Source organism: Homo sapiens, chromosome 7 (assembly GCF_000001405.40).
Source record: "Homo sapiens chromosome 7, GRCh38.p14 Primary Assembly".
NCBI classification, from domain to species: Eukaryota; Metazoa; Chordata; class Mammalia; order Primates; family Hominidae; genus Homo; species Homo sapiens.
The window spans coordinates 120,513,831-120,525,921 of record NC_000007.14 but is presented as its reverse complement, the minus strand read 5'-3'; the positions used below and the strand labels follow the sequence as shown (position 1 = coordinate 120,525,921).

General features: G+C 34.0%; 1 protein-coding gene across 2 annotated transcripts in view, besides 2 other annotated features; it reads right to left on the bottom strand.

The window, feature by feature from the left end:
* KCND2 (potassium voltage-gated channel subfamily D member 2) overlaps window positions 1–12,091 on the bottom strand; it is a 477,430-nt gene that overhangs the window by 224,416 nt on the left and 240,923 nt on the right. The gene's annotated exons all lie outside the window — the stretch shown is intronic.
* Window positions 2,658–3,469: an enhancer, noted in NCBI's record as "OCT4-NANOG-H3K27ac hESC enhancer chr7:120162507-120163318 (GRCh37/hg19 assembly coordinates)". NCBI's record gives its function as "activates a minimal SCP1, AML or CMV promoter by ChIP-STARR-seq in naive and primed H9 embryonic stem cells {active_cell/tissue: H9 hESC(naive and primed)}" and the evidence as "EXISTENCE:reporter gene assay evidence [ECO:0000049][PMID:30033119]".
* Window positions 3,470–4,281: an enhancer, noted in NCBI's record as "OCT4-NANOG-H3K27ac hESC enhancer chr7:120161695-120162506 (GRCh37/hg19 assembly coordinates)". NCBI's record gives its function as "activates a minimal SCP1, AML or CMV promoter by ChIP-STARR-seq in naive and primed H9 embryonic stem cells {active_cell/tissue: H9 hESC(naive and primed)}" and the evidence as "EXISTENCE:reporter gene assay evidence [ECO:0000049][PMID:30033119]".

The following is a 12,091-nucleotide window of genomic DNA, read 5'->3' as shown; positions in this document are numbered from 1 at the left end:
ATTAGGTTACAATGATGTTATTAACATAAGGAAATTGAAAATATTTCTAAAGGAGAATTTGGACAGGGTTGTGTACCTAAAAACAAACATAAGAAGTCTCAGTTTGACTTCACTGAGGTGGTGTGGGTCAACTGGGCATTTATTACAGGTTTACTTCTTCCATTAATTCATTTAGTAAATGATTATTGAATGGATAAATGGCTTTACGCTAGGCACATTGTGTTCACTTGCCTTAGCAAGCAAAAGCTTGTATAAAGTTATTGTTGGAGAATTATATGAAGGATAGAGAGATTTGTGAGTCAGTTCAAATCTTGCAAAGGCATGAATTCACCAAGTCTGTGGCCACCTGGGGAAAAGACTGGGATTTCCTGCCAGCTACTTAATTGTGCCCTCAGAATTGTAAGCAGGAATTTTGAATTTATTTCACTTACACCAGCTTCTATTATGCTGATTTAAAACTACACAGCCATAGCATTCTGAATACAAGTAGGTTTTCTGAAATAAATTAAGAACATTTCCAGAAAATAAGGTAAGAATTCAGAACTATTTATAACTAGGGAGGTTCAAAGCGGGTAAGTTGCATGCCCTGGTATACTTCATGACTTAGGCTTAGAATGTAAACATCTCAATTTCCATTGTCAGCTCCAAACATTAAAGCCTCTTCTCCAAAGAATAGTTTATAATTATAATATCTAAGAATGTTCAAGTGATTGGCAACTTGAATTTGAACACAATAGCAAACAAACATTTGGGGAAAGAGTTAGTAGGCATCACAGAGCCTGGGAATTTATTTTATTTTATCTAAAACAATGATAGGAACACTGGCAGGAACCAACATGAGGCAGAAGTTATTTAGGCTAAAATATAGTTCAAGATAAACCATAATAATAACTCACTAATTCAGAATGACTAAAGATGCAAAGTCTGAATTGGGAATAAATAGAGATCTATAAGTATTAAAAGGAAATATGAGTTCCAAGTAAAACAAGAGTGTGAGGTCCTCAGAGCCAGACGTGGTGTAAAATATCTTTCCTATCCCGACGTTGAACACATTCCCAAGAAAGCAGATTTTATTAATTTTCCTTTGAGATGTTTGGTATCCTAAGTTAGCTAACCCAAACAATTTGTTGGCAAGAAAGTATCTCTTGTGAGTATTTTAAGCTTCATAGAATGTGCATTAGGGTATTGACTAATCCAAGTGTTAGAATAATTAAAAGCTAACTTAAAATTGCCAAAATGAGTGAATAAAGTATATCCTGAGCTAAAATATCAATGACCTTTATTATATTTGTTCAGATACTTAGTAATTTTCAAAATTCAGCAATTATCTTTCTGTCATTATTGTGAATTAAGATGACTCTAAGGTAAAAGCACAATAGTTACAATGGTAATTATGGAAAATGAAATTACATTTTAAACAAATAATGGCTATAGTCATATTAATACTGTCTGAAGACTAAATATCAAAGAAAAAGCCTTTAAAAATATATTTTAAAAGTTAGCATGGAATCGAAACAAAAACTTTTAAAAGCAAAGTAATAGTTATACAATTTATTTTGCTATCAGACTCTACTCCTACATTTTATTTTGCTATCAGACTCTACTCCTATCTTTAGCTCCTTACCTTATTATTCTTAGTATACATCTTTAGTTGTTCTCCTCAATTTTGGCTTTTTTTCTTTTTTTTTTGACGGAGTCTTGCTCTGTCGCCCAGTCTGGAGTGCAGTGGTGTGATCTTGGCTCACTGCAGCCTCCACCTCCCGGGTTCCGGCGATTCTTCTGCCTCAGCCTGCTGAGTAGCTGAGATTACAGGCACATCCCACCACGCCCAACTAATTTTTGTATATTAGGAGAGATGGGGTTTCACCATGTTGCACAGTCCGGTCTCCAACTCCTGATCTCAGGTGATCTGCCCAACTTGGCCTCCCAAAGTGCTGGGATTACAGGCCTGAGCCACCATGCCCAGCCTAATTTTGACCTTTTTAGACATTGCTGAATCTCTAATTTTTATATGTGAAAAAATATTGATTTTTAACAATTTTTTTCTTGAACATTCTATACTTTTTTACATTTTACTCCATATATATGTTGCTGAATATATATATATAAATAAATTTTAAAATACATATACACACATATATAACAAATTGTTATTCTTGATAGGCCAAAGACATACACACACACACACACACACACACACACACACACACACACACAGAGTGTGTGTGTGTGTATATCTGTGTATAAATATATGTGGACAATATATAATATGTATGTATTGTATATACATACTATATATGTGTATATGTGCATATATGTGTGTACGTGTGTGTGTGTGTATGTTTTTTTTTGGCTTATCGAGAATAGCAATTTTTTTCCACTTCTCACTGAGTTGTTTCAAAATGTTAAACTTGTGATATAAAAATCATGTCAACTCTAAAAAATTATATTAAACCTAAATGGATGACTTAGTCCATTTAAAAAACTACCTAAATATATATAAACTACTAAATATAAAATATTATATTAGTATTTTAAAGTTTATTATTTTAATGAAATTACTTTTTTTCTGAATTATCTGGAAATCTGTTTTATTATTAAAAACACGTGCAGAATTTTGTTTCCATGTATTTTTGCATAAAATTATTTTTGTGGAGGGAAAACTAGCACAGTTAGGCTACTAAGTGTTAATGTTAAAGCATTTAGCTTCTAGGAAATGAAGTTAGTGTCTAAACATGGATAGCGGAAACAACACAATCACAGAATGGTTTACCACTCTGAAATGGGATGGGCTCACTTTAAGAACAGGTGGTAACCTTCTACAAATATTTAAAACTGCAAAATTTGATTAACTGGAAACACTTGCCCACCTCATCTGTATCGTTCACCTACATGGGCTCTGTGTCTTCTATCTCTGGTTGCTTCAATTGCCCAGTCTAGTAAAAAATACTACAAATTGAGAATAGGAATCAAAAGACAGGTATGTCTAAGTAACGAAGGCAAAGGCATTACTGAAAATTGACAGAATGCAAGGAATCCCTTTATTATTTAGTATTTCCATAAAGTGAGCACTTTACAGAGATTCACTTTATTATTCATGAAACCAGCACTAAATTTACCACATTTCAGAAACATAGAACCTAGGACTTGGCAGTGATATGATTTGTCTAATGTCATAAAGTAGCTCTATCAAATTGGAGATTTAGAATATAAAGAATCTGAATATTCGTGACTTTTATTTACACTTTCTGGGCTATCAGGAATGATTCTCAGGATTGTTATTATAACTTTTGCTGAACAATTACTTTTCTGAGGATTTGTAACAGTGTTTGAAAGTGAACAACTTACATGGTAATCATAACAAAGCACAAGAGAGTGCTCATTTGTAAAAGAAAAGAGAGGATGTGAGAAGTCTTGTTTACCCCTCTGCTTTCTTCCAAAGGCCACTTTACATATCCCATTGATCTTTAAATATCTCTATCTTGGAAGGAGTAACTAAAGTAATTCCCTTAGCAAAAGCCTGAGGAGATTAAATCATTCACTCAGGGTCACGCCATAAGTCCTTGGTTGAGAAGTCAGTCTTTGTGCATTGTTTTCTAATACTGTACTTTGTGTCCAACTGGGTAGATTACCTTGATTTTTGAATCGTGCTTACACAAGACCTTTTCTAAAAGGCTCAAATGAAAGCTAACATACAGGACTGCAGCAGAAAATAATTTCACTTCCTGCCAACAGGATGAGGACAAAAGGGACAAATGGAGTTACAGGAGAGGGTGATTAGGAAGAGTGGTGGAGAAAACCATAAAGGGAGGCCCAGAGCTGAAGCCACAAAAAGTCAGATTGGAAGCTGAGACTAGAAAGGGTGAGTTGTTGCAAATGTGTGTGAAATGCAATTCCATATCATTATGACTTTATTTGTTCAGAGAGTAATAGAGTTGGACAGCAACCTGAGAGATCACTGGGTGCAGAGTTTGCCTTCAGGCAACTGAATAGCTGATGATACAGGATCCAGAAATGTCACAACTCCCAGTACAAAAACACAGAGTTTTCTCCCAACCTACCCAATAGATTATTTTTCTGTGTTTTGCTATAACACTACAAGTACACTTCAAGTATACGTGTGTTTATACATGTGTATGCATGTATACAAACTATATACACACTCACATATATATTATAGATGGAACATATTGAAAGAGAAAAATAGTTACATTTATAAAGTAGTTTTTATGTTCTAATATCTTTCCTATATTTTCTTCATTTGAATCTCACAACAGCACTATGAGGTAAGGGGACATATATTATTACGCTCAATTTAGAGACTGAGAAATGAACACCTCAAAATGACAGTTGACTGTATTTAAAAATTCAAGTTTATCGACACCTTTGCTGAATGTGACTTAATATGTAGACTTAAATATACTGAATATTTAATCAAAAATAATGCATTAAAATTTGAAGGCCCAAGGAAGAATAAAATATCCCATAAAATTTGATTAGGCTCACAAAATAAATCTGACACAGGTAAAAGATGCATTTTCGGAATGAGAGGCATACTTGAAAAATAAAAACATTTGTAATATAACCCTAAAATAATTTTTTTTTTAAAAATTGGACATCTTACATTGCAGTCTGAAAACAAAGTTGTTAGGTTTTATGATTCCTTGAAACTGAATATTATACATTTTAAGGTTATTTTAAATTAGAATATATTTATTTTCCTCTCACTACATTTATAGTATTTTTATGCTGTGGTGCTAAGACTATAGGTTTTGCTTTCATGTACAGCAATATGATTTTAACAGGGCTTAATCTGCAGAAAACTACTGTCCTTTAATGACTCTCTTTCTAAAGTGTACTTTACAGACAACAATTCCTACTCTATCTTGCATCCAGGGTTGGTCCTGTTACTATTTTCCACCAAGGGCATATGTACAGATTGCTTACTAAGTGAGTATACTTTCTCCATTCTCTTTTGTCTCATTAGAGACAATGCAGAGTTTGGTAGAACCACAAGATGAATGAGATCTGGGTTCTTGAATCACTACATGGAAGAAAGCCACTCACCTTGACACATCAGGTCTAAAGAAACTAATGGGTTCATCCATTAAAAATGTGGAAATTATTTGTAATAACAGCTAGGATTACCTTAGCTAATGCACACATGCAAACCTTTGTGTCTCTCGTCTGTCTGTCTCTATTTCATCTTTTCTTTCATTTACTAGCAACTTATTGTCAACTTTTGCCTCATGTCTCATAATCTGCTTACTATCACACTTCTTCACTCAGGTGTATCCATTTGCCTCTATTATATATTCTCTATTCTTCTTCAGGAGCGTCCCTGAGCTCATATACTCTTTTTATTTCTTTCCATTGCTATTTCTTTTCCTTTTATTCACCATTTCTCATGTGTATTTCCTCTAACCTGCTCAAAGTCAAGGACTCTCTTTATCTCTCTATCCCATTCAGGAAACATTTTTAAAATGAAGACTTCTATTCTCATACATATAGATACAGTGAGATAGTTTTCTCTCACTTTGTGCAGAAGTCAATGAATATCGACATATCAAAGTAAAAGGTATTCTTACGTGTAACTTTTTTTATTTTTTCTTATGTGTAACTTTTTTTATATTTAGGAGTATTTCATAAAAATAGATTATCACAAATAGAATTACTGAAATTACAATATTCTTTAAATACCTTATCCACTGCTACTTATACATAAATATTACACATAAATGGTAGACAATATCATGTAAACAAGTGCTTTCCTTTCATGATGTAAATATTTTTATCTCAGTGTTATATGGCTAGTATTACTTATTTATCATAAAGAACTATTGTTAATATATTCATTGTGAAAGTATACTCACCAAATTAATGACAGCAATCATTACTTTTGAAAAAATATTTTCTTCATGCAAATATTATGATATTTAATAATTAGGATAATTTGTAATTTATATTCATGGCTTACCTGACAAAATCATTATATGTCTTAATATTAACTTTGATTGCATAAATATTACATTAGCTTCAATCACGTAAGAATTTTAGGAACTATGTTAAATAAATATGAAGCAAATGGATCAGGCTCGAGTGTAAAAACCCCAAGTACATAAAAATAGATTTCATTTTGTTTTGAAAGTTTTGCCTATTGGAAAATATCCATTAAATTATGGTGGCTATATTAATGAAATAACACTTTCATATGAAAGAGAATTGGGGAAATATATATAATTAGTTTTCTACTGCTGACATAACAAATTATCACAAAGTCAGTGGCTTAAAAGACAATTTATTATCTCACTGTTCTCTAGGTCAGAAGCACAGGTGGGATCAGATAGTTCTTCTGCTCCTGTTCTCATAAAGCTGAAACCAAGGTGTTAGCCTGGACTCTGTGGAATTATGAGGTGTGATGCTAGAGAAGAATCTGCTCCCAAGCTCAGACAGGTTGTGGGCAGAATTTAGTTCACTGTGGTAGAGATGAGGTCCCTGTTTCCTTGCTGGCTGTCAGCTACCGGCAGCTGCTCTTCAGCTACTTAGAGGCAGGTTTTGTTTTTGTTTTTGTTTTTTGAGAAAAGTCTCACTCAGTCATCCAGGCTGGAGTGCAGTGGTGTGATCTCAGCTCACTGCAACCTCAGCCTCAGTCTCGTGGGTTCAAGCGATTCTCCTACCTCAGCCTCCAAGTAGCTATGATTACAGGTATCCACCACCAGGCCTGGCTAAGTTTTTGTTGTTGTTTTTTGTATTGTTAGTAGAGAAGGGTTTTCACCACGTTGACTAGTCTGATCTCGAACTCCTGATCCGAAGTGATCTTCCTGCCTTGGCCCCCAAAGTGCTGAAATTACAGGCGGGAACCACCACGTACTGCCAAGGCCACCATATTCTGTATCACATTGCCCCTCCATTTGCAAACCAGCAACAACATGTCTAGGCCTCCGTATGCTTCAAATCTGACATACTTTCTCTCTGTTTCCTCTCTTCTTCATAGAAAGGTCTCTGCTTTTGAAAGCTCATGTGATTATATTGGGTCTACCTGTATAAATCATGATAACATCCCTAATTTAAGCTCCCTAATCTTTTTCACGTCGGCAAAGTCCCTTTTGTCATGTAAAGGACATATCCAATATAACCACAAGTTCCGGGTATTAAAGTGAGGACATTTTGGTAAACCTATGGCAAAAAGTGATCATGTTGAAACAAACTATTGTTTCAGTTCTTCAATTGCTATTTCTTTAGCTTATATTCCACATTTCTCACCTATAGAGCAGCTATAATGAAATTTAGATTCGTTCTAACATTGCTTTTTAACTTCATATCAACGTGTTTATAAAATAAATGAATATAAACTGTACACCTAACTTTATTCTTGAATCTCATTCTAGCTGATGATTTAGTGTACTGATAATTTTAGGAAAAATCTACCAAATGAAGAATCATCATAATTTTCCAGATAATTCATGGGAGAAATTGCAAGAACTTGTTGATTTAACATCTTTTGTTTCATACCTAAGCTATTTGCTTCATTTTTTAGGTAACTTTATGTTTAAGTTGTGAATATTTACCACAATGTCTCAAATTTTTAAAAAGATTTCCATTATAAAAATTATTGTGACTTAACACTATATAGTCAGTCAAATCTCCTTTACTGGGAAAACATCTCTGGATGGAAATAATAGAATAGATTTGCCTTAGAAAAATGTATAGCAGAATAATAATACATTCTGATCATAAGATAATATGTGTAAAGGGTCTAGTACAATGCCACAAGTGTGCTTTCCTGTTCATTTTTTAATTCCCCAGACCCGATGTTCACTTTGTGTAGAGATATGGCCACAGATCCCTATTTAACAACTCTTTCTTCAGGTATGAATAACTGTATAATCTTGGGCCATGAGGATCGCAAAGAACACATTATCAACAAATATCTGAAAGTACTGTGGCCCAGAAAGGGTAACTGTAGGGAATGCAGAGAAGAAAATGCATGCTTATGTGTTCTAAGAAGACATCTGGTACATGCCAGTGTAAAATTCAAACGATGTATTACATGACAAGCACATCATGCTTTCAGGTAAGGAGAATAGTAGGAGATTGACAACTGGCATGAAATTTAGGAGGTTTTATATCAAAGTGCACTCCTAAAATGAAAACCTAATAAGTTATGCATGTATACCTATAAAATGAAGATAGATGAAAACAAATGGTTAAATTTGGCAGTAGTGGTAAAATTCAAAATAGCTCCCCTTTATTGAAGTAATGTGCTAAGCAGTTGGTCTACTAATATTTTTAATCTGCATAACAAATTTAAGAGATGGATATTAGTTTCCTTACTTTGTACACTGAGAGGTTCAGATCAATTAATTTCTCTAAGGTCACATGGCTTGTAAGTGAAAAAGATTGCATTTTAACCTAAATCCTATACTTTTTCACCATTATGTTGCACTCCTTATTGTAGCAATCGAATACTAATCACTTTTTGACATCTCACAGTTTACTGATATTAATTATTACTTGAACTTTAGCTATGTATAGTTTTTGTGAACAACAGTTACAGAAATAGTCATAGAATATAAGATTCTGACTCAACAATATACTAAGAATAAAATACTACTCATTTTATCTAAAAATGATACTGACTATATCATTAACAAAGTCTGACTCTCATCAGTTTTAACTATGATTGTCCCTCAACACAGATAAATTCACAGAAAAAAATCACTAACTATAAAATTGTGTGCAAATCCAATTTTGGTAAATGGAATTGCTTTTTAAATGTACAATGAGGTTACTTTAATAAAAGTAATTGCATAGTCAATAATTTGTAAAATGAATAATCAATTCCTAGTTTACCATTATTTTGTAAAGTAGAACTTGACATGCTGAACATAAAATTATTTTACTGGATCAAATAGTTTCCTTTGGAGAAAATAAAATTTTGACAATATATTTTAATGCTGAATTCTTTTCAGAACAACTTCAGGATGTCCACCATTTTATGTAGTTTTACACAACACTTCTCTAGAGCCTGTTCACATTAATTGTTACAGAAAGATTTCATCGTAAAACATTTCTATGCATTAAAACATGTTCCCTCTATTAAAAAGCTCAGAAGTATAATACAAAAGCCTGCATGAGTTTATGTATTTGTATTTTCATATATGTAGATATTCAATCCTGGGTCAACAGTAGATTTCCCGTTTTCTATCAAATTAAATTCAGGAAATTTTTATTAACGGAGTTTGGCCAATCCAACCCCATATGATCCACTTTCAGCACTTGGAGAGTCCGGCAGTAAATACACAGACTTTTGCCAGTAAGTCATTTCTGGATGTGAGTAACATAAAGATCTTCATTGTGAACCCCAGATTTTTCATGTCCTAGCCTATGAAGCCTCTTTCTTCAGTTCATTCGGATTTAGAAAGCCATCAGGGTGTCTTTCTGATTCTGCTGTCACTTTCTTTTATTGGAAAAGGGAGAAAAAAGTAAGACTGGACTAAGAAACAACAATCTTTCAAGAAATTGAAGCAATATCTGTATAATTATATGGACGGATACATGTAATTATATGGACAGATAATAAAAGATACATTTTAAAAAGGACACTCTCTTGGCGTGTATTTGTTTGGATACGTGTATTGTAATAAACATAATAAAATCCCAGGAAAATTATTTGCAGTGCCGAATAAAAGAATAAAACTAATTTTCTAATGCTCTTATTTTATAATAAAACATTCAGTACTTGTAATTGAAAAGGAAAAGTCTTTAATTTGGTGGAATTCATATATTCCCTTATTAAACAGTATTACTTGAAATTTGGAAGATCAAAATATGAATCCTACCAAGATATTATTTTCAAGGATCTTAGAGACTGATGGGAGATAATATAATACAGAAGACTACATCAGAAGAAAGAAAGTGCTGAGAAGAGGTATAATTAAAATGCTAAGGTGCTGGTTACATATTCTCTCATGGGTCAAATCTACCCTCCTATACTTTGTTTTGTGCTATCAGACCTTCTCCTTCTCCTTCTCTTTCTTCTTCTTCTGACTCTTGATTAGTTTTATCTCATGAAGAGAGGACTTGGCTGAAGGAAAGGGAAAGGATCTGCCATTTCAACGTTTGGCTTCCTGCTCCTATCAACCTCACCTCGGCATCACCACATGCTTGTCACCTTCACAGCATCTATTAGCTCCATAGTTCATTTTTCTCTCAATCCCAGAGGTGGAAACAAGCCCCAGCCAGCTGGGATGCCTCTTTTTTGGGGTGGTGAGTCCCAACTCTGTAGGAGTCTCTGAGTTCCTGAGGCATTAACAGGGGAACATATCCCTCCAAAGGTGTGGGTCTCAGCTCCACGGGAACCTTCTTCAGAGATTGTAGGTTCTAATACTCCCAATCTTTTCTTTCTGTTCTCCCAGTCCTAGAGGTGATATCTTCTTGCAACTACTATTTCTTCATAACCTTAGGGTTCTCCTCTTTCCCTTTAACCTTTTCACATGTATTTAAACAATTTCTAATATAAATTATCTCTTGTAATACAACTGGTGTGGATTCTGTTTTTCTGCCCGATACAGCAATAAAAACTCATGAGACAGGAATATTCCCTTCCAGATGGAGAGATCAGGGAGGGCTTCACAAAATATATGTGTTTCCACTGAGCCATGAAGGAATACTTTGATGTGAGGTGACAGTGAAGGTGAGAAAAGCAGAAGAGGAAGTGGCAGAAGCAGGAAAGCAGGAGCAAGTATAGGGAAGATGAATAGGTCAACTGGGCTGGAGGGTGGTTAACCCAATGGGAAGAGTGAGAGCAATTTATATCTGTCATTTTGGGTGTGAAAAAAATGCAAAGTATAAGCTGGAGGACCTTCATCTTATTAAATAATATTACAAAGAAAGAAAAAGTTTAAAAAATGCAACAAAATAAGAATGCATTTTAAGTAGGAATGAAATTCCTAACTTAATAACTCATTTACGGTACTACACAATCACTATCTAATTTGTTGCTATAAAACAGGGGTCCCCAATCCTTGGGCCACAGACCAGGACAGGTCTGTGACCTGTTAGGAACCAGGCCACATTAGATTCTTAGAGGAGCATGAACCCTATAGTGAACTACAGGTGAGAGGGATCTAGGTTGCATGCTTCTTATGAGAATCTAACTAATGCCTGATGATCTGAGGTGGAACAATTTCATCCTGAAACCATTCCCCACCAGCTCCTGTCCATGGAAAAATTGTCTTCCATAAAACCAGTCCCTAGTGCCAAAAAGGTTGGGGACCACTGCTATAAAAGTATACTACTTTAAAAATCAGTAAAAAAACAAACAAACCAAAAAACTTCACATGATTGTGTACTGAAATGTCCTATTTAAACACATTTTATAAATACTTATATTAGATAGGGATATAAATTAGAATTGACTACTATAATATTTGGTTTAAACCATAAGGATCTGGATATGAATTCCCTGGGCTTAGTGTGACGTGTATTTGTGGGGTGTTTGTATGCAGACATTTGCAATTTATATACTGTTTTCGAGAAACCTGAACGATGACTTCTGCCTCACAACTGATTTCCTGTATTTTTGACAGTTTTTTTAGAAAAATATTTTTGATAGTTACAAAGCATTGTAACTGTCTTTTGAGTTTTTGGTGTGGACAGGTAAGAATATGGGCAGGTCACTGGTCATGAGCAAAATTTTTAATCACCTCAGTTTTTGAATGTGAAAATCAGATTTAACTTATATAATTCAGATTTGCCACATCTTTTCCAGGAACTTATACCTTGTAAGCATTAGTAGGTGATAGATAAAAAATAAATCAGTATATCAATTGCTTAGTCCTTCTAGTATATATCCCATTGACCTCAATGGAAACTACATGTGAGCATCTAAGGGCAAAGTTTAGGACATTATTATTAATGAATTCACACTTAAGTGCTCATTAGTGGGTTTAAATTGTTAATAATAACACATTAAATGTTAGCCTGTGTGTTTTGCTAGAGTAGTGGCATGGTTTAAATCAAATTGTCTTCAAAACAATTCCTGAACTATAGAGTAGTTTTAATTTGTAGGACCTTTGGATGGATATTT